Source organism: Homo sapiens, chromosome 18 (genome assembly GCF_000001405.40).
Source record: "Homo sapiens chromosome 18, GRCh38.p14 Primary Assembly".
Taxonomy (NCBI): Eukaryota; Metazoa; Chordata; class Mammalia; order Primates; family Hominidae; genus Homo; species Homo sapiens.
The window spans coordinates 46360432-46381427 of NC_000018.10; the positions used below are offsets into that span (position 1 = coordinate 46360432).

Consider the following 20996-nt stretch of genomic DNA (forward strand, 5'->3'; position numbering starts at 1 on the left):
TGGGAACTCAGGGTTCCTGAGGAAAATGCAATTGGAATTCCAAACACCTCATTTACAAACAGACCCTGGAGGCCCAGGTTGCTTGTGTCCTTTTCTGAAAGACATTTCCATGGCAACCCCTGCCTTCCAGACTTTCCCTCTCTCTTCTCCTCTCCTCTTTTGGGGCTGAAGCACCAGGCAGCCCCAGGCGAAAGACCCCTGCATTAGTAAATCAGTCAGCTCTTCCCTGGGGGCCAGGGGATGGGGTGCTATGGGAGAACCCTGCCCTGCCCCTGGCCTGCCTTCACCACCTCCTTCCTGCAGGCCCCCCTTGCCCTCTAATACGCCTGGGCACACGAGGCGGGTATGTGGAATCCTACCTAGGTAGCACCAGGCAGGGTCACAGGGCCCACCTAAACACTGTTCAGCCTTGGGGTGTTCAGCAGCGGAACTCCTGGGGAGACAAAGCTGTGGAGGAGCTTTGGCCCAGAGGCCAGGCGTCAGCCCCACAGCAAGTGACTTTCCATAGCTGTCCCAAGCTTTCCAAGTGGACGTCCACAGAACACTGCACTTGAAGGAACTGAAACATTACCTTTTCTGCAAGTGGAAAAGGTTTAAGACTCCAGCTAACCTCTCAGTGAGCAGCTGGGAACTTGCCCAAGATCACGCTGCTAACTGGGCTGTGAGCACATTTTTCCTGATGCCCAGTGTAAAAAAATTTTTTTAACCCCTTGACACCATACTGAGTCTTTTCTAGTAATACCTTTTGAAACTCCTTAGAGCCTTTGGGTGCTCTAAGCTGGGCTTCACCCCAGCTCCAGATGGGAAAACAAAAGACAAAGATGAACTCTCAACCTTGCTCTCCAAAGTGAAATTTCAACTGAATCCCTGTAGCCTTGCTCTTCTGAAAAAGAACATATTACTTCCATATGTTTATAATGATATAGAAATCATTACATATGTCTGTGTATATATCTGTGTCGATCTGCTGTACATATGCAGCATATATGTACATTAATATTTAACTGAGTATGGCAGGCACATGATCCAGTGTCCAAAAAAAGGCAGACAGTGCCACAGTGCAAAGCAAGGCTTCCTCTCCCCTGTGCCCGGCCACACGGTTCCCCTCCACAGTTTCTTTTGGATGCTTTCAAAGATGGTCTTGCTTATTCCATTTGGTCCTCTTGATCCTTGTTAATGTTCTTCTCAGTACTATCATTCAATATACATGATTATGGCAGGAGCATGAAGCAAGCTGGCTGTCTGAGGAAGAGCCTACCCTACTCAAGGTGCAGGGCACTGGCCTGGGCACCAAGTCCTATCCCCTCCCCAGGCGGGAGCCAGGAGCTGCTGCAGGTCACCACCCATTGTTGCTGGCTGTGTGCTCCTGAGTGAATGAGACTCTGATCCCCACTGACCTTAGCTTCCTGCACTAGCAAATGAGGAGGTTAGGTGATATGCTCTGGAAGATCCTTTTCAGCTCAAATTTCCATGATCCTATTATCTACTTCATGCCCCGTTTCCCCACTTACAGAAATTAAGAAATAGGGCAGCATTGAAGATAATAGCTCATTTATATCCCTGAGGATTTCAAAGGCATTTACAGATGGCAAGCAAAATGGAGCTTGAATTGGGCTGGAGTTAGCCTGCCAAAGGCCCCCCTGCCACCCCAAGCCCCACTCATATGGGAGTGTAATGGGGTGCCCAAGCTCTGGGCTTAGGGGCAGGCCCAAGGTGACAAATGAGTCAAGGGGCAGTCGCTGTCCCCTCCAAGGTCAATCTTTTCTCCACCAGGCCATGAAGTGGGCCCTAGCAGGCCTTTGGGATGGATTCTTGGGGAGGCAGGGTTTTCCTTCAGGGGTTTTGCAAGAAAGCTGGTTTCTAACTGAGACTCTTAGGCCTCGGTTTACTGTCTCAGGGCCTGCTAGGTGAGTGTTTCAGGACACCCCTAAAAGGAATAACAGACTTTTAATAAGATGCCTGCTTTACCCCAGTGGTTGAGGGGAGAGTGTGTTGAGGGGAGGAGTGTGTGCGCGCCCCAAGGGGTTTGGCTCACTCATTAGCAAAGCCAAGAATTTCATCCTGGAAGCCCTCTCTGTCACTCAGGGGTTTTCTGTCCCTGCAAACCCTGAAGAACAGCATAGAAGCCACCCAAATAGATAGTGGCACAGCCAAGCCTCACTCGTTTTGACTAATGAGAGCCTCAAAGCTTTGCTATTTCCAGACATATGGTTTCTTGGCCTTAGCCAGTGAAACCTTGGGAACTTGCTTCAGTGAACAAAGAATAATGCCCTGCGACAACCACATCAGGTTGAATGGCACTTAAGTACACATGCTCAAAGTGCTTGACAAGTTTCTCTTTTCTGCACTTCCCTCTAGTCCTCTTCCTTAAATTCTAGAAGCACAACATACGAGAGCCAAGAGGAATCTTAGAGGTGTGTTCACTCAGTCCTTCCACTTTCAGATATGGAAACTGAGTTCTAAAGGGGAAGAAAAATCACCGGGAGGGATAGTGGCCAAGAATCAGACAGACCCCGGGGCTCTTGTGTGGAGTCCACAGAGATCTTTCCACGCCCACAGAAAAAGTGTAGAGTTAAAACCAGACCAACCTCTGCTGCTACCAGAATGGAAGCTCTCAATGGCATGAGTTTTGCCTGATTTGTTCACTGCTATATCCCCATTGTCTGGCCCAGTGCTGAACATAATAAGTGCTCAATAAGTACTTGTAGACTGAATAAATGGGAATGACAAAACAGTCTAAATCACTGGAGTCTAAATGAATGTGGCTTTACTGTGTTGTCAGCCAAGAACATCCCTCCTTCTCTGGGCTTTGAACGGGACCCTGAAGATGAGCAGCACTCTTAATTCTTCTACCACCTTTGGCTGCAGAGGAAGCAAAGGCCAGGTCTTCTACCCTGCAGAAGAGACAGCTGTATTTTAGATGTTAAAAAATATCGAAAGGAACACACCACAGTGCCCTCAGCCAGAGCTCCTCTTTTTTGCAGTTCTCCGGCCATCAGGGGCATGTGCCTGCCTGGAGACAGTGCCCGTTCCTGGCTTCTCTAGGGCCTCAGGGCTCTTTCACTTGAGACATCCACAAATCAGGATGCACCCTGTGGTCTCTGGATCCCTGATTCACCCCTGCAAACCTCCCTCCTGTGTGCTGGTTGATGTCCACTCAGTGTACAGCCCCATCACGGGCCCAGGGGAGGGGACATGGAGGAGAGCAGCTGTCAAGTCACAGCCCTGCCCATGGGAGACTTATGGGCTGCTTGAGGAGCTAAGATTCTCACCGTTATAATGAGCTGGCCTTGTAGTCCCAGCTGACTATAAGCTCCTTGAGGGCAGGAAACATACTTTTTAAGGTTGGGTCTCCTTGGACTTTCTGAGCAGAATTGAGGTGGTCACATGAATTCATAGGGGCCACCGTTGAGGGTGTGACCTCCAGGGTCACCTTTCAGTGGGTCTGAGGCCCTGACTCTGCTTCCTGACCTTGCTTTTCTTTTTCTTTTCTTTTTTTTTCTTTTTTCTTTTCTTTTTTTTTTTTTTTTGAGAGAGAGAGAGTCTCTCTCTGCCCCCCAGGCTAGAGTGCAGTGGTGCAATCTCAGTTCACTGCAACCTCTGCTTCCTGGGTTCAAGCAGTTCTCATGCGTCAGCCTCCTGAGTAGCTTGGATTATAGGCAGGGACCACCATGTCCGGCTAATTTTTGTGTTTTTAATAGAACTGGGATTTCTCCATGTTGGCCAGGCTGGTCTCGAACTCCTGATTTCAAGTGATCTGCAAGCCTCAGCCTCCCAAAGTGCTGGGATTATAGCCATGAGCCACTGTGCCAGGCCCCTGACCTGCTTTTCTGAGGACAAAGGTTTTCTGGGATCTTCCTGCCCTCCCCACCTCCACCTATGCACTTTTTACCAACCAAAGTTTGCTTGGGTCAAAAATTCACAGAAGTTAACAACATTAAACAAAACATGTTTTGGTGTGGTCTAAGAAACTTAAAAAAAAAAAAAGCTCTAAAGTCGTAGAACACGCATTCTAAAGTAACTGGAAAGGGACACATTTTGTGGGCTCCCCAGAGAACCCTTCGTGATGCCGACAGACAAGGTGACTACCAGACATATCATTTCAGGCCACCTCCCCTCTAACTGGAAAAGCCTTCACACCTACTGCCTGATGCCTGGATTTTAGGATTGGCTTATAGCTGGATTTTGTTTTCTTCAGATGTGGCCAAAAGTGAGGCTGGAGGCACCACAGCCTCTCCTTTGGTGATTCACATGGCTTCTTGGGACATTCCTGTCCTGAGGCTCTCTCTGCCCATCCGTGCTCACATACTGATGGAGGGTGGCCTTTTCTGAGGATCGCACGGCCACCGAGGTCATAGAACCTGCAGAAGAGTCAGGTCCACTGGATATCTCTGGGCTCCTGCTCTCTGGGCAGGAGGCTTGGGGCCTCAGCAGGCGGCTGACTCTGGCCAGCTTTACTGGAACTTCAGGGTAGAAAACAGCCCTGACCCAGGTCTCAGGAGAGCTGGCCCTCTGGTCCCAGCTGGGTCTCTCCTACACTCTCAGAGGTCTGTTTCTCCCTCTGTGACAGGAGAAGAGTGAGGGGTTGGGGGTCTCTGGGAGTTCCCTTTCTTCTAATGCCCTATAAGTCTCTGGTTCTCCTGATATTCCTGCTTTATCACCATTCCCTGCGTCTCTGCCATGTCCTCTCCAGGCAGCATCCTGCCTTCTTGTTAGAGGTGGGAAAGTAGAGTTGCTCTTTGGAACTTAACCTGGCTGAAGGGGAGGGGGTATGGATGGCAGGGAGTGGCCTAAGCTCAGACCTTGAGGCTCCCATGTGGGCTCTTCAGAAACCCACGCCCCCTGTCAGTGGTCCCCACCCTACACTCCCCAACTCAGGGTTACGCAGGGTCGAGTCCAGGAGGTCTTTTTTGGGATGACCTATGTCTGTCTCTAGAAGTCTCTGGAAGAGCCTTTTCTCCACTAATGAACAGATGTACCTATGTCTTCACAAGAATCTGGCTCTTGATATGCAGGGCACCAAGTCTGAGGTCTGGCTGGATGACTTTCTCATTTTGTGATCTTGAATTTTTTTTTGTTGTTTTGTTTTTGAGACCAAGGCTTGCTCTGTCGCCCAGCCTGGAGTGCAATGGTGCGATCTTGGCTCACTGCAACTTCTGCCTCCTGGTTTCAGGCGATTCTCATGCCTCAGCCTCCCCAGTAGCTAGGATTACAGGCACATGCCACCAAGTCCAGCTAATTTTTATATTTTTTAGTAGAGATGGGGTTTCACAATGTTGTCCAGGCTGGTCTTGAACTCCTGACTTCATGATCTGCCTGCCTTGGCCTCCCAAAGTGGGACATCTCACTTTGCTGCTGGGTTTCCCCATCCTCATTCAGTAGGGAAGCTCCAGCTTTGTGGCTAGATTTGCATGGGGGTGAGGGTGTGGGCAAGGAATGACTGAGGAATGACTGCAGGGGAGGTAGAAACATGGGGGTCACTCAGAAGGAAGTTCAAATCCTGAGAAGGAAAAGTCACATCTTGTGAACAGACAATGGAGGATCAGTGCAAAGTGGGGTCTAATTAAGAGATAACTCTTGGCTGGGCGCGGTGGCTCACACCTGTAATCCCAGCACTTTGGGAGGCCAAGGAGGGCGGATCACCTGAGGTCAGGAGTTTGAGACCAGCCTGACCAACATGGAGAAACCCCATCTCTACTAAAAATACAAAATTAGCCGGGCGTGGTGGCACATGTCTGTAATCCCAGCTACTCGGGAGGCTGAGGCAGGAGACTCGCTTGAACCCGGGAGGTGGAGGTTGAAGTGAGCCAAGATCACGCCAGTGCACTCCAGCCTGGGCAACAAGAGCAGAACTCTGGCTCAAAAAAAAAAAAAAAAAAAAAAAAAAATAGAGAGAGAGATAATTCTTGTGATATAGGCCTAAGCCCTCTGGCAGATTAGGGAGAGACAGCTGGGAACAGCTGACTATATGACCTCTCCCTTCTCCGCAAGCCCAGCCCAGCCCCTGCAGAGGACTTCTCATTCTCCCAAATACTGCACTCAGATACTCATTTTATGATGAGGCCCAGACAATTTGGTGAGGAGGCATGGAGAATTGCTCACTGGTTTTCTTCTGCCCTTAGTAAATGGCAGTGCCTAGCAATGCAGAATTTCCAGAACTTGTTCACAGCCCAGTGGTCCTTAAAGATGAGAGTCATGGCTGAGAGGAATAGTAGGGTTTCTGAGAAGTTTTACACTTGGGAGCAAGGTGTTTCTTTTGAGGAAGGCTTAAATGTAGCTCTGCCACGGAAGCTTTCTCTGACCTTCCTAGTCCTGAGATTATGTGCATTCTTTTATTCATTCACATGCTCATTCATTTATTTACTCAACATGTACGTGTGGACTACCTGCCATAAGTCAGACGCTGTGCTAGGTACTAGGGAAACCACAGCAAACAAAACAGTCTTGGAGAGCAAAAATCCAAGTCCAGCAAAAGGTCTTCTGTGTCTTGCTGGAAGGAACAGATTTTCTAACACTGGCTTAGGGCCCAGTCATCCCGTTGGACTTCTGAGATTCACAACAAGAGGAAATTCATCGTATACTTAGTTTCCAAGAAAAAATCACCAAGCAAAATAACGCTATGGACCTCATAAAGCAAACACAACAGGAAGACACTGGAGTTGGGTGGATGAAAGGCTCCTACCGGCTGCCCATCTGCTGGGGGATGTGGGATCTCTTCTTACGGATGAAGAGTTTTGGGGGTTTTCCAAGAGCCTTATGCAATATTTAGCTTCTTATTCAACTGGTTCAATTCTGCTCCGCCTCCCATCCTGGCTGTCATACCTGGCTTTCCAGGTATAGGGTAGACCAGATGACCTCTGAGGTTTCCATTTGCTTTAAAAGTCAACAGTTCAGTGATTTTCAGGATAATCTAGGGTCTGAGCACAAATTGGAGGATTGCATTTATGTTCAGTGTGGGAGGTAGGAAACAATTTGTCCATAGTAGTGACCTGAAAAAGAAGCCGTCTCCTTCTTGGAAAAGAAGTGGCTCTGGTTCTGTTCATTTGTGCCAAAGCCTTGCATTGACATTCTTTGAGGCAGGGTAGAATTGGTTATTGAATAATAGGTGGGTCTATTGGACCCATTGCCTTGTGCCCTCATAATCAGGCTGTCTCAGTGAAGAGGTGGACTGTAACTTGGGTCTTAAAACCCACATTGCCTAAAGCTTCTGACATGGAACAAGTTGTATTCATATGACTTTTGGCAAGTTACTCTACCAAACTGGCCTCGGTGTCCCCACCAGTAGCCTGTGACTTTGTGCTTTAGTCAAGATCAGAGCCCAGATCCCCTGAATGTTAGGTTAGAGGTATGGCTCTCAAGCCTTCTTGAGTGTCAGAATCACTTCAGTGCTTGAGACAATTCGGATTTCTCGGCTCTGCTTCTGGATATTCATTGCAGTTGGTGTGGGATGGTGCAGGCATCTGTACTTTGAACCACTTTCCTCCATGATTCTGATGCCCAGTTACGGTTGAGAATCATCTGAGGCCAGTGAGTCTCCAAGTGTGGTGCCCTAGGCAGCACCCCCAGCTGGGAGGGGCTTGTTAAACATGCAGATTCCTGGGCCTGGCCCCAGAACCATGGATTAGAATCTTGGGTTGGGCTTGAGACTCCACGTGGGTAATTGTGATGCATACAAATGGTGGGAAACTACTGCTCTAGACCTTATCTGCTTCCTTGGACCTCCATGAGACTTTGTGCTTGAGGAAAAACATCCTTTCCAGGCTAAGCTTATTGGAAGTTCACTAAATGCATTCATCCTGGAAGTGTAGGTTAGGCCTACCTGGTGTTAGCTGAGATTGGCTTGGGACGTGGAGGCCTAAATAAAGAATAAAATATGTTGGTTTAAGCACTTACTCTTCCCCCATTGCCTCCCTTTCTGCCTCCACCCCCTGCTCATATCATCACCCTAAACCCCCAGAACCACTGGGTGGGAAACGAAGACTTCCAGAATAGTGCCTGGTCATGAGATAGAAGAGCTGGCAGAAGCTCATGAGTACCCCACTTCCCTGTGGGTCTGCGTGTGCCCAGGTCACCTTGATCAAAGCTTGGCCTGGGTTTTGTTCCCAGCTCCACTGGTCATTTAGGGAAAGCCAGTTGGACCTTCTGAGGCAATTCAATTCTGTTCTTTTCAGGACAGCTCTATGGAGTCGAGTCTTAATCAGTTGCACAAGGCACCATGAAGTGCTTACTGTGTACCTAAACCTGGCTGAGCATCAGGAGTGAGCAGCACACACTGAAAGTTTAGCGTAGTGGTCAGGGTTAGAGCAAGAATGCCTGGGTTCAAACCCCAGCTCTGCCATTCACTTGCTGTGGGACCTTGGGGAAATCATTGAACATCTTTGAACCTCAATATCCTCATGTTTCAAATGCATGATGACAATGTCTACCTGATAGAGTGGTTGGGAGAATTTAGATGAGTTAGTACACATAGTGTTTAGAACAGTGCATGGCACACAGTAATTGCTTAGTGAATGTTTACTGTCATCATTTCTATGTGCCAGGCACTATGGTACTTACTTAGATTGTCTGATGTTATTTAATCATGTAGTTTAAGTGTTACTCTACAGAGATTAAGAATTCACGGTCCTGAGAAATTAATCTATGTGTTTAAGTTTACACAACTAATAAATGGTAGGCCAGGATTTGAATCTAGACCTCTATGATCTAAAAGGCCATGTTTTTGTTTTCCCCTGTGTGTATGCTCTGTGGACAAGAAAGCTTGTTGTATCTAGAAGCAACGTGTGGTTGTTTCCAGATACCCAGGAGCCAATTGAAGGGTGGTTCAAGGTGGCAGCATCCATCATCAAGATGGGCTGGCTGAGGCAGGGTGGCCTGAGCTGGGATTTACTGGAGAAGCAGGGGGATAAGGCTGAGCAGAGAGTGTTGTAGAATCCTGGTGTGTGTGTGTGCTGGGGTGGCAGGGGGGTGGGAGAGGACAGGGCAGGGAGGAAGCTGATTGACTCGGGAAGAAGAGGTGAGACAGGCCAGCTTCCGGGGAATGTTGAAGTCCTGGTTGTGAAGTGAAGGGAGTCAGGGAACGAGAAATGCCTCAGAATCCCTCTGCTGGTCAGTGAGGTGTTGCTTTAGGTTTGCAGGGCGGGATTCCCTATTCCCACTCCCTAACACACAATGTAGCCAGAAAACTTTGGCCTGGAGACAGCTCCTTGCTGGAGGTGGGGGCACTTTTCTAGCCTATCTCATTTAGTTCTGCTTTGCTTTGAGTGGGCTAGAAACCCTAAAGGTAACTCATAAACCGGGGGGTCCTTATTCCTCTCATCACGCACACCCTTTTCCCATTTCTAATGGACAAAGTAAGACTTTGCATGCGCATTTCAAGAGATTGAGAGAGCCATTGCTTGCTTTTCCTCTTAAGATCTTGGTATCAGGGTAGAGCCCGGGGCCCGTTGGGCCCATCTGCTATAAATTAACACCAAGAAACCACTCTTGGGAGAGCTGCTGGCCCTCCACACACACACACGCACACACGCACACATGCACACACACGCACCCTAGACTTGGGAATGATTCTGGTGTGGACTCTGGGGGCCATAACAGCTTCTTGCTGCCTGTGGCCCCCTCAATGTGAAGGAGCTGAGAAAGGCCTTGCTGCTCCTCTTCCCTTTGAGCATCACTTTCCAGGCTCATCTACCAATCTGGGTCCCCACTTCCTTCCCTGCTTTGATAGAAGGAAGATATAGAATAGTAATTAACATTTGTGAGGACCATACTGGACCAGGCTCATCTAAGGGGTTCACATGATATCCTTACGATCATCTCTATAGGCAGGGGAGGGGAAACATCGTTATTCCCATTTTACAGATGAGAAAACTGAAGCCTTGAAGGGATAATCATCTTGTCCAAGATAAGACTAATAAGGTGCTAAGCCAAAATTAGAAGCAGGGAAATCAGTGTGCAGAGCTTGTGTCTTCAACCAATTCTTTACACAGGTCTAGTTCTCATGAGCTGAGGTGGATGGAGGAGGGGGTTTAGGGGGACCCTGCTCCCCAGTCAGGGTCTGTGATGAATAGGAATGACTTTTCTGTCCTTGGCTGTAGGGAAAACATTGTGTTCAGATTCAGGATCCAAGAGTGTGTCTGGTCCCAGGTGGCAGTCATCGCTATTTGCCACCCTTCTCACGTCTGATCTTAAACGTACCAGGTGTGGGTGAGGCCTCCCCAGAATGCCCCATGCCAGGTGCTAAGGGGATCAAGGAATAGAATAAGATACCATCTCTGTCCTCGTTCTCTTGAGCCACTCTCTGGGTGGCAAGACCCAATGGACAGTTGGGTTGTGACAGAGGTTGACAGGAGGCAGAAGGCCATCCCAGAGAGATTTGGGAGGCCAAGATCCTACAAGCTGTTGGAACTCAGGGGGCGTGAGGTCAGCATGAGCTTTGGAAGCCAATGGGAATCAGGTACACGAAAAGGAGGATGGGCACATTGTGGGAGAGGGGAGGTGTATTAGTCTGTTCTCACACTGCTAATAAAGACGTACGCGACACTGGGTAATTTATAAAGAAAAAGAGGTTTAACTGACTCACAGTTCCACATGGCTAGGGAGGCCTCACAATCATTACAGAAAGCAAAGGAGGAGCAAAGGCACGTCTTACATGGTGGCAGGCAAGAGGGTGTGTGCAGAGGAACTCCCATTTATAAAACCATCGGATCTCATGAGTCTTATTCACCATCATGAGAACAGTACAGGGGAAACAGCTCCCATGAATCAATTATCTCCACCTGGCCCTGCCCTTGACACGTGAGGATTATTACAATTCAAGACGAGATTTGCATGGGGACACAGCCAAACCCTATCAGGAGGTCAGGGGAGACAGGAGCCTAGCATTCCCCTGGCCAACGAGATGGCCCACTGCAAGGAGGGTCACGGGGTCTGATAAGGAGGAAGCACAGCCCAGGCCAGCGAGGAGGCTCTGACAATGCAACCTCATCCCAGGGATGACCCAGGCCCTGACTGGATTCTCAGTCATCTCAGAGAGACTCAGTGAGATTCTCTGGTTAAGGGAGAAGTTAAAGGAGATTGGACATTTTAAAAGCATTTCTGACCAAAAGAGGATTTTGAGCAAACAAGATCTTTATGAAGCTTGGATGATATCCTGGGCATGAAGCCCCCACCTGGGCACCTGGTACCCAGAAGACAGCAGCTGTTAGTATTGATGATAAGCCTCTCTGGGAAATGAGAGCTGAAACAATGGTTTGAGAACCCTTCTGAGAAGCACTGGTGTTTCCCAGCTTCAGGTGCGCTTTCTTCCCAGTGATACAGATGAGGAGACCAAGGACCAAAGAGACTAGTGACTGGGTCAAAGTCAAACAGTGACAAAGTGGCAGGTGGAATTTACCTGTGTCCAAGGCCCTTTCTATTGTACTGCAGCATCCTCGCTGTTCAGATAGACTTAGACATAGGCTGGGACATTCATGGGTTCATCATTTACTCTTATCCATTCAACTAACAGCTGTTTATTAAATACTGACTCCTAACGTACTAGACTTGGTCCCATGTCACTTCCGAGAGCTGACTGTAGGGTCCTGGATGGGCCATATCAGGAGATGTCCTGAAGATGAGGCCCACAGTTCCTTTAGGGTAGAAGAAAGGGACTGGCATCCACACAGATGTGAACCCTGATGACAGTGCTGGTGGCTGGAGGTTGGCTGCAGGGCCTTAGGAGCTGGACGGGGCTATACCTCAATACTGCCAAGTTCAGAGGCACTGAAGGGTCCTCCCTGGGGCCCTCCTGAGGATGCTATCAGGTTGGCAGCATAGTATTCTGGAGAGAGCCCAGTTTGAGATGTGGTGGTAAGTTGTTGCACTCATCCAGCCACCCACTTGCTGTGCATCCTGAGGCAAGTCACTTCGCTCTTCCTGCCTCGGTCCCACCATTGCTCAGCTGAGAGCAGTAAACCCACCACTACCCCTCCCAGAGGCTGCATACAGACCCAGTGATATAGTGCCCAGGGCAGCCTGAAAATAGTGACATAAAGGGCATCATTGTCATCTCAATGAACCCCATGTGGGGCCACCTTAGTAAGCCCCCTTCCAGCTCACCCCACATTCTAGCTTGTTGGAGGCCTGGAAGGGAGTGACACCATGTGAGGACACGTGACCATGGTCACAGGCAGGTGTCTGGGTTCCAATGAGAGAGGCTGGCCTAAGGGGTTGGGGGTCTCCTGTTAGAATTGGGGGGCAGAGACGCAGGAGGAGGGAGCTGAGCCTTCTCGGGCTCTGGCTAATAGGAACAAAAAGCTTCTGTTACCTGTGGCCAGGCTGTTTTATCCATACTTGTTAAACCCTGTGCATTTCGAGAGCGCCAAAATCCATACGTTTCCTTTATTCTAACCACACTGCGGTGCTATTATGTAAGGACTGTGTAGTGTCCAGGAAGCCTCCCGCGGCACAGGAACAATGAGCTTGCTCACCACTGTGGCCTCCACTTCTCCCTTCTTTTCCCACAGCCTCCTAATGCCACCATCATCAGCCTCACTCAGGGAGGGGGACCCTCCTGCTGGGAAACTGGAAGCTCTGTGTGTCTGTGCATGTGCGAGTGTGTGTGTGTGTACGTGTGCATGTGCACACATTGGAGGATGTGTCAAAAGGTAGGCTAGAAACTCCAAAGGTAACTAGTAAATAGAGGGCTCTCTCATCCCTCTCATCACACACCCAGGTAAGCAGAAGGGCCTCCTGCCCCATTCTCTAGGCCCTGCCAGGGTGTCATCTCCTTCATGGGCCTCCAGGGCATTAAGCTTGATCCCTGGCTCTTGGACTGGCATGGCTAATGCCCAGCCAAAGGCCAGAGAGTGTAACACTGCACATTTCCTCAGAGCTTGCCCAGTGCTTTCTAAGATTCCATTCCTGCCCTTCATCTTGACAGTCATCTGGAAGGCGGCTGGCCTGCCAGGTACAGGAGGGACTGGGCAAGAGTCACCCAGCAAGTCGTGGGCTCTCTCCAGGCCTTTTGACAGTGCCCCACAGTATCCTGCTGTGGAAGGACTGGCCTGCCTGGGTGCATCCTGGGGAGCAGGTCACTGCATGATGTCTCTGGCTGTTGATGACCCAGTTGAAAGTGATGTGGTAACGAGAGACAGCACAGTGCCTGGACGCTGAGGGCTTTATAGATCCCCAGTGACGTTGAGGCTGAGAGCTGAGTGCTGCCACACTGGCTCCTCGGGCTCCAGGGACAGCCCACCAGAGGCTCACAGGTGTGTAAATGGCACTTTACAACTCTTAGGACAGGGCTGTCTCCAGGATCTCTGCAGGTGTGGGGGGAATTGTTATCTGAATCTTACACGTGGGGAAGCTGAGTTCAGACAGGCTCAGTGCCTAGGCCAGACCGTGCAGCCAGAGAAAGGCAGAGCTGGGGCTCGCTAGCCCTCAGATCCCCCTCCCACCCCCGGTCCCAGACCCTGTGCCCCTGAGCCCTCCTGGCAGCTGCCTGTTTTCCCAGAAGCAGATGGACAGTTGCTCCGACAAAGGGGCTGTGTGGCACCCATGCTGTGGTTCCCATGGTAAACCCAGGCCCCTCATGTTTCTAATTACTCCTGGTGTTCTTTTCTTCCTGCAGCATGAGCAGGGCCAGGCTGGGGCATTCTTGTCATCCCTGTCCCCCACCTCCCCTCCCCACCAGGGGTCCCCTTATGGAAACTTCTCACACACGAGAAGACTGGGGCCCAGGCAGCTTGAACGAGTCCGAGAAACTCAGGGGTCAGCCAGGAAGCCTTTTTTTTCCACCAAAATAGTTTTTTTTCAATTATTTAATTAATGAATTTTTATGGTGGGGAAATATACATATTGTATGATTTGCCATTTTAACCATTAAGTGCCACAGTTTAGTGATATTAGCAGCATTCACATCGCTGTGCTATTATCTTCACCATCCATCTCCAGAACTTTCTCACCTACCCCAATGAAAACTCTGTCCCCATTAAACACGAACTCCCCATTCTCCTCCCGCCAGCCCCTGGCAGCCTTTATTCCACTTTCTGTCTCTGTGAATTTGACTACTTGAGGCCCCTCATGTCAGTGGAATCACACAGTGCTTGTCCTTCTGTGTCTGGTTTATTTCATTCAGGAGAACGTCTTCAGGGTTCACCTGTGCTGCACCCTGTGTCAGGATTTCATTCCCCAGCCAGGTGGCTTTATGCCTTCTCTTTGTGCTCTAATTCTTTGGTTTTTAAACTTAAAAAAGAAAAAAGCAATGGAATCCTCCCCCATCTTTTCCCCCTTCAACAGAGTCTCATACGGAGGTCTAGTAAATACAGCACACAAAAGCAGCAAGGCTCTGGCTGAACTGGGGGGGCTAGAGACCCTACACCCCAAGCCTGGCATTCCTGGAGACACTTCCTGGGGATGGAAAGTGCCTGCATGCCTGGAGAGAGGGGCCGATTTGATTGACTTGGGTCATGAGTGAGAAGCCCCTTGAGTCTGACATTTGGTCTTGAGGGCCTCCCCAGTCACTGCACTTCCCTACTGCCCTCCTGGCTTCCCTCCTAAATGTCCTCTTCAGGTCTTGGGCCCCAGCCAGGCCCCAGGCCCTTGTAATAGGTGGAGGACCAGAGAGAGGCACAAGCATGCTTTGCCGGAGGATTTGGGGTTTCTCCCCACAAACCTCACCCAGGCAGGCTTTATCTGCATCTGCCTGAGTCTCTTCTGGCACCCTCCCAACTCCCCCCGCCCTCAGAGGCCCCAGGCTCCTTCCAGGCCGCCCTGGCCGCATTCTTTTGTGCTGTCACTGGCCGCATCTATATATTGACTCTAGATAGTTCCTTTCCCTTTCATCAAAAATACTTGTCCTGGCCGGGCACAGTGGCTCACACCTGTCATCCCAGCACTTTGGGAGGCCGAAGTGGGTGGGTCACTTGAGCCCAGGAGTTCAACACCAGTCTGGGCAACATGGGCAAAACCCTGTCTCTACTAAAAATACCAAAATTAGCTGGGTATGGTGGTACACACCTGTAATCCTAGCTACTCAGGAGGCTGAGGCAAGAGAATTGCTTGAACTTGGGAGGTGGAGGTTGCAGTGAGCTGAGATTGTGCCACTGCACTCCAGCCTGGGTGACAGAGTGAGACTCTGTCTCTAATAATAATAATAATAATAATAATAATAATAATAATAATAATAACTTGTCCTGGCTTCCATTTCCTTAGCTCCTTGAATGAATTGCGCCGTTATATGAGCTGCCACATCCTGGGTTTATGCATCCTGGGAGTTCTCTTGTTCCCAGCAATTTTATGTTAAGGTGAGACCCCATGACAGGCAAGTTGGAGGAGATATTTTGAGGTGGGAGCAGCACATAGGGCAGAAGCCCTTTTGAGTGTCCCTCCAATCCCACCTGGCAACCATGGACTCTGCTTACATCAAACAACTGGAGGTTGATCAGGGTTCCAGGCCCTGGGCTAAGGGCTGGGGAAATAGCAAAACAGGTTCAGTCCCTGCCTTTGATGAGACTGTACAATTTTGGGTGAGTGACTTAATCTTCTTTTGCTTCCATTTTCTTGTCTACGAAGTGGATGATAATAGCTCAGAGGGTGGCCTGAGGGTGAGATGAGGCAGTGAGTGTGCACAGCTCAGAACAGGGCCGGGCCCGGGGTCATCACAGCAAGCCTCAGCTGCTCTGAGTGTCACCCTCACCTGTGGCAGAGGGGCCTATGGACTTCTCTTGGCACCTGCTATTAGGCCCCTGGCTTGTTAACAGCCTTGGCAGCAAAACGGTCACCTGCCCTTCCTGTTCACTTTTAGTTCTCTCTAAAATCAACACACAGCATGCAAGGGCCTGACATTAGTTGGGTACTTTCTCTGTGTCAAGAATCTCTATGAGGTAAATGTTAGGATGCCCACTTAATGGACAGGAAAACTGAGGTTCCGTGTGGTTAAGGAGCATGGCCAGACAACAGTCAGGATGTGGTAGAGGCCACAGCGTGGCCCTGGACTGCCTAGTTTTGAACTTTGTTCCTGGCAGGTGGAGAGCATAAAGGAAACAGAAGATGCAGCCTCTTGTGGAGATATTTTTGTCAGGGATGTTTGGAAGATCCCCTGATGGGACCTCAGACCACACCTATGCTCTGGACTATTCGACCAGATTTTGTGGGATGTTGCAAGATTATGCCCCTGTGACTTGGAAAGAAATTTCTTTTGGGGCCTCAGTTCAGTTTATTTGAAGTTAGTTCAGCCAGCACTGGTTAATAATCTTTTTTTTTTTTTTTTTTTTTTTTTGAGATGGAGTCTTGCTCTGATGCCAAGGCTGGAGTGCAGTGGTGCAATCTCAGCCACTGCAACATCCGCCTCCCAGGTTCAAGCGATTCTCTTGCCTCAGCCTCCCAAGTAGCTGGGACTACAGGCACGCACCACCATGCCTGGCTAATTTTTGTATTTTTAGCAGAGATGGGGTTTCACCATGTTGGCCAGGATGGTCTTGATTTCTGATCTCGCGATCTGCCCGCCTCGGCATCTCAAAGTGCTGGGATTACAGGCGTAAGCCACAGGGCCCGGCCAAGAATCTTTTATGTGTAGGGATTGTGAGAGAGTCAAAGATGCAAAACCCAGCCCCTACCTCAGGGAGTGGTCAGGCACCTAGGAGGAGGCAGCAATGCATCTTACATGTACTAGGAGAGGTTTGAATATGGTGACTGTGTCAGAACTCCAATCAGCACATGGCCTGACCTTGGATTATTTAAATTGCAAATATATTCATATGAAATATCTGAAAAAGGTATATAATGTACCCCTTTTAAATTCACATCTTTAGCAAATATCCTTTAAAGAAAAAAAGTTTCATAAAGCTGAGATGGGAAACTTGAGATTGACAGTTCATGTCATCCCTCTTTCTCTCCCTTCCTTCAACAAGTATTTATGGGAACTCGCTATATGCCAGGAATTGGTCTAGACACACAATGATGTGTGTCTTTCAGTGAGGCCAAGAGAACAGACAAATAAAAAGCAGTAACAGCTCCCTAATGGCTCTGTGTGGAGCATCCCGAGAACCCACAGGAAGGTGCTTCATAGGAGGGGCAGCAAGTGGCTGGAGGGGATTTTCCTGGAGGAAGCAGTGTGGGAGATGTGACCTGAAGGGCAGCAGAGCAGTATTTTGTTAGATGAAGGAGTGGAGGTTGAGCTAGGGAGCCAGGGAGAGGTTATCAGGTAAAGGGAGAGGCACATATGAAGGCTCTATGAACCAAATGTATGGGAGGTCAGAGGAGGGTGTCATTAATTTCGCATGAGGGCAAAGGCATGAGAGATCAATAAAGGCTTCAGGGAGGAGTTGCTATGTGATGGGGCATTGTGAGATGAATAGGAGTTTGATAAACAAAGGTTGAAAGCACTCTGGGCAGAGGGAGTGGGCAGAATCCATAAATGCCTGGTCTATTTAGCATGTGATGCTCAGGTAACCATGTCTAGAGCAAAGGGTACAGGAGGGTAGGACTTGGCATCACCAAACATCCAAGAAGAAGTTCTGGGGCAGGAAGGCTGCTATGGATGGTGGTGGACTGCACAACAGAGGTGGTGCAGGATAGAGAGGAGGGGTGGGTTTAAGAGGCATTTGGGAAGAGGGTGAGGGGTCTTGGCAACTGCTGAGTTGCAGACATTGAGAAATGAGGCCAGTGGAAGTTGGCCCTGAGATTTGCATTTGAGCTAACTGCTCTTCCAGATTGAATGCAGGTTCCATTAATGCTCCAAGGTACGTCCCCTGCACCAAACCATTTATCAATTTATATTGGGGAAGCAAGTTTGAGGTCGTGGTGTCCAAAAGCAAGACAAGGACCCTGCACATGCCCTTGCGTGCCCTAGCTCTAGTTTACACACACCGTAGTTTCTCCCTTTGCCCATACTACAGATGGGAAAACCGAGGCTGGGTGGCTGCTGAAGGCCACACAGCAGTGTGAGTCAGCACCAGGGACAGAATCCAGGCTCCTGGTCTTTTCAGCCTGGGGCATGTCCTCCAGCACATTCATTCCCCCTGACCACCGTGGAGGGGCAGCGTGAGAAGTGATGGGCTTTTGCACCGCTTTCTGTAAGTCACCACCCAAACTGGAAAGGCTTCGGGGAGCTTGGAGAAAGCCCAGAGGTGTCAGATGATCCCTCCATTTGATGTATGGTCCAATTGTTCCAGTTTCATTTAGGATGAGGCCAGCAGGCAGGGCCACTGTTTATCAAATAGGAGTTTGATGAACAAAGGTTGAGAGCATTCTGGGCAGAGGGAGTGGCATGAACCCATAAATACACATTCTACTTAAGGTGTGGTGCTCAGGCCACCATGTCTAGGGCAGAGGGTGCAAGAGGGTGGGGCTTGGCATCACGAAGCATCCAAGAGGAAGTTCTGGAGAGGAGCGCTGCTATGGATGGTGGGGAGCTGCACAACGGAGGGGGTGCAGGATAGAGAGGTGCCCCTCCTATGAAGCACCCCGCTATGGTCCTGTCTAACCCACCTTCCACTCTTCCTCCCCAGTGTGGCTCTGATGAATAAGCAGCTGAAACAAACCATATGTCAAATGAAGGGACCTCACTGTCCCCAGGGCTCACCTGCTCCTAATTAGGCCTGGAGTAGGGAAGGAGCGGGGCACCAGAGGGCATCAGCCAGCATCTGTTCCTCAGAGTGTGTGGGTGTTGGGGGCAATGAAGGAAAGGGAAGGCTTGGGGGCCTCGTTTTCCCTGCTGGGAGCCCCCAGGCCCCCCAACCCTCTGATTTTATCCTGTCATACAAGAGTTGCTGGAAACGCTATCATTCTGGCAAGTCACTCAGTCAAGGAAAACCTCTTTAATCTCTTTTGGGGTGCATCTAGTCCACAGGTTTTTAAGCTTATTGACCGTACTTGTCTCCACTTTGACAAACACAAAACCCTCTCCTTAAACTTAACTTGAAATTTAAAAGAACAAATCAATCTCACGAGACTAAGCGCTGGTTTCTTTTCAGGGCTCATATCTTATTCTTCCAGATTCTAAAGGCCTCTACTTACCCTCACACCCACCTTCCCTCCCCGAGTCCATTTTACAGATGAGGGAATAAGTCCAGAGAGGTTAAGTGACCTACCTGAGGTCACACAGTAACGGCTTCCGGGCCTGGCCAACAGCACCGCCCTCATTTGTTTCTCTTGAGGCCTTCTCTTCCCACCAGCCCCACAGGGCAAAGTCGCTCTTTGAAGCCACCTTCAGAATTCTTCTCCCCACTCCCTGAGGCCCTCCCCACCAACTGCGAAAGTGTGGCCTTTCCAGAGGTGGCCAGTTCATTCAGCCACCCTGGGGAGCTAATGTACTTTCTGAATCTAAAGCGACATGTGACTTCAGGACCACAGACAGGGGAAGAGGAGTTTGATACAAGGGATCTGTTTCAGGGCCCGTTCAAGAGATGCCTAGAGGCTGTCCTGAGAGGGTGCCCCTTGCTAAACTCCTACCTTCAGAAACCATCTGCATGGCTGTCCTGCCCCTGGCCTCCTTGGCCCACTGGGACGTTGCTGCCAGTGGCTCTGCTGGCTGGCTTCATCTTAAATGGAACTGGAACGTCAGAGAAGAGATGAGGCTCCAAAGGCAGAGGCCACCCCACCCCCAAATCCCTCCCAACTATTAGCCTCAAAGTTTCCCCATCCATGAGCTCTGCTGTCGGGTTAAACTTTTTAGAAACTGCCCACCCAGTGGGGGTGGAGTGCAGGGGCCTCGAACCTCTGCCTTCTTCTCCATCTTCGTGTCTCTGCCTTGGTTTCCTCTGCTATAAAATGGAAGACTGGATGGTCTCTCTGCTGCCTTTTGGCTGTGCCAGTCTCCTCTCCTATGGCATCTGGCACAGCTGGTGCAGAACCTGGGCTGGGGCCTGGAAGGGCGTCTTGGAAGATGGTGCCCACGGGGGCTGTTGGCCTTTTCCTCTGGCGACTTGGGGAGTGTGCGCAGGGGACATCCAGCAGGCTGAAGGAGGCCCAGAGGAACTTGCTTAAGGTTTCTTTGAGAAGGAAGTGACAGTAATAATGACAATAACAACATCAAGAACAAAGCAGGAATAGTTATGAGGGGCGCTTGCACAGTGCTTGTGGTGTGCCAGGCATCGTTCTCAGGGCTCTACCTGTGTGAACTCTGACCCAGGCGCTTGCGTTTCCTCAGGTCCTAGTGCTTCATCCTTCAGAAGCTGCTGCCTTAGAGAGTTGCTGAGCTGGTCGCTGGGAGGCTGGAGAATCTCCTATGACTGGGAGCTGGGAGCAGGGAGCAGGGACTTCTGAGGTCTCCAACCCCCAGTATCTGAGACTCTGGAGCCTCGAACCCAGCCTGTGTGATCTGGGCTGTCTGCTTGTGAGTGGCCTGCTAGCTAAGGACAAAGAGGGGTTGCAAAGCTAGTGCTCCCCCAACCCCCGGGGCTAGGACCAGGTGCCCTTCCTGCAGGTCCCCATCACACTCGCCCCAGCCTTCCTTCCCACGTCTCAGCACTGCAGTGGAGAAGGAAGGCCAGGGACAGAGGAAGGCTACACAGAGAGCAAACCCAGCCGGGCTGGAGTTCCTTCTCTCAGAAGCACATTTGTCACAGAGAGCACCTTTGACTCCAGAGTAGGAACGCATGCCTCATGTCCTCTGGCCATGTGTGGGAGTGTGGGGGAAGCCCTGGGCATGCCACACTACTGCGCCTCAGTTTTTCTATCTGTAAAATAGGGACAAGGCTATCTCTCTGCCCTCCCCATGGAGTGAGACGGCAACGCTGTTCTGAAGCGAGGAGGCATTGCTGTTTTTGTCAGCCAGGCATTGGGATAAGGCCAGGCACTGCCTTTGTCTTCTGTGGCCAAAGCCTGATTTCCATCCAGACTTGCTGTCCCCTCCGTGGTCTCTGAGGAGTCAGGTTCTGCCATGTGGGGCCACAAGAGCAGGTTTAGCCGCAAGAAACAGTGACCCATGCCAAGAGAATTTGGAGCTTCTCTGCTCTCTCCCCGCTTCCTGGGCCTCACCTCTGCAGTCAGAGCCCATGTCTGTCCCAGTTGATCAC

At 50.1% G+C, this 20996-nt stretch overlaps 1 protein-coding gene across 4 annotated transcripts in view, besides 1 other annotated feature; it reads left to right on the forward strand.

The window, feature by feature from the left end:
- Positions 1-20996, forward strand: part of ARK2C (arkadia (RNF111) C-terminal like ring finger ubiquitin ligase 2C) — a 129123-nt gene that overhangs the window by 26414 nt on the left and 81713 nt on the right. The gene's annotated exons all lie outside the window — the stretch shown is intronic.
- Positions 12884-13384: an enhancer, noted in NCBI's record as "H3K4me1 hESC enhancer chr18:43953278-43953778 (GRCh37/hg19 assembly coordinates)". NCBI's record gives its function as "activates a minimal SCP1, AML or CMV promoter by ChIP-STARR-seq in primed H9 embryonic stem cells {active_cell/tissue: H9 hESC(primed)}" and the evidence as "EXISTENCE:reporter gene assay evidence [ECO:0000049][PMID:30033119]".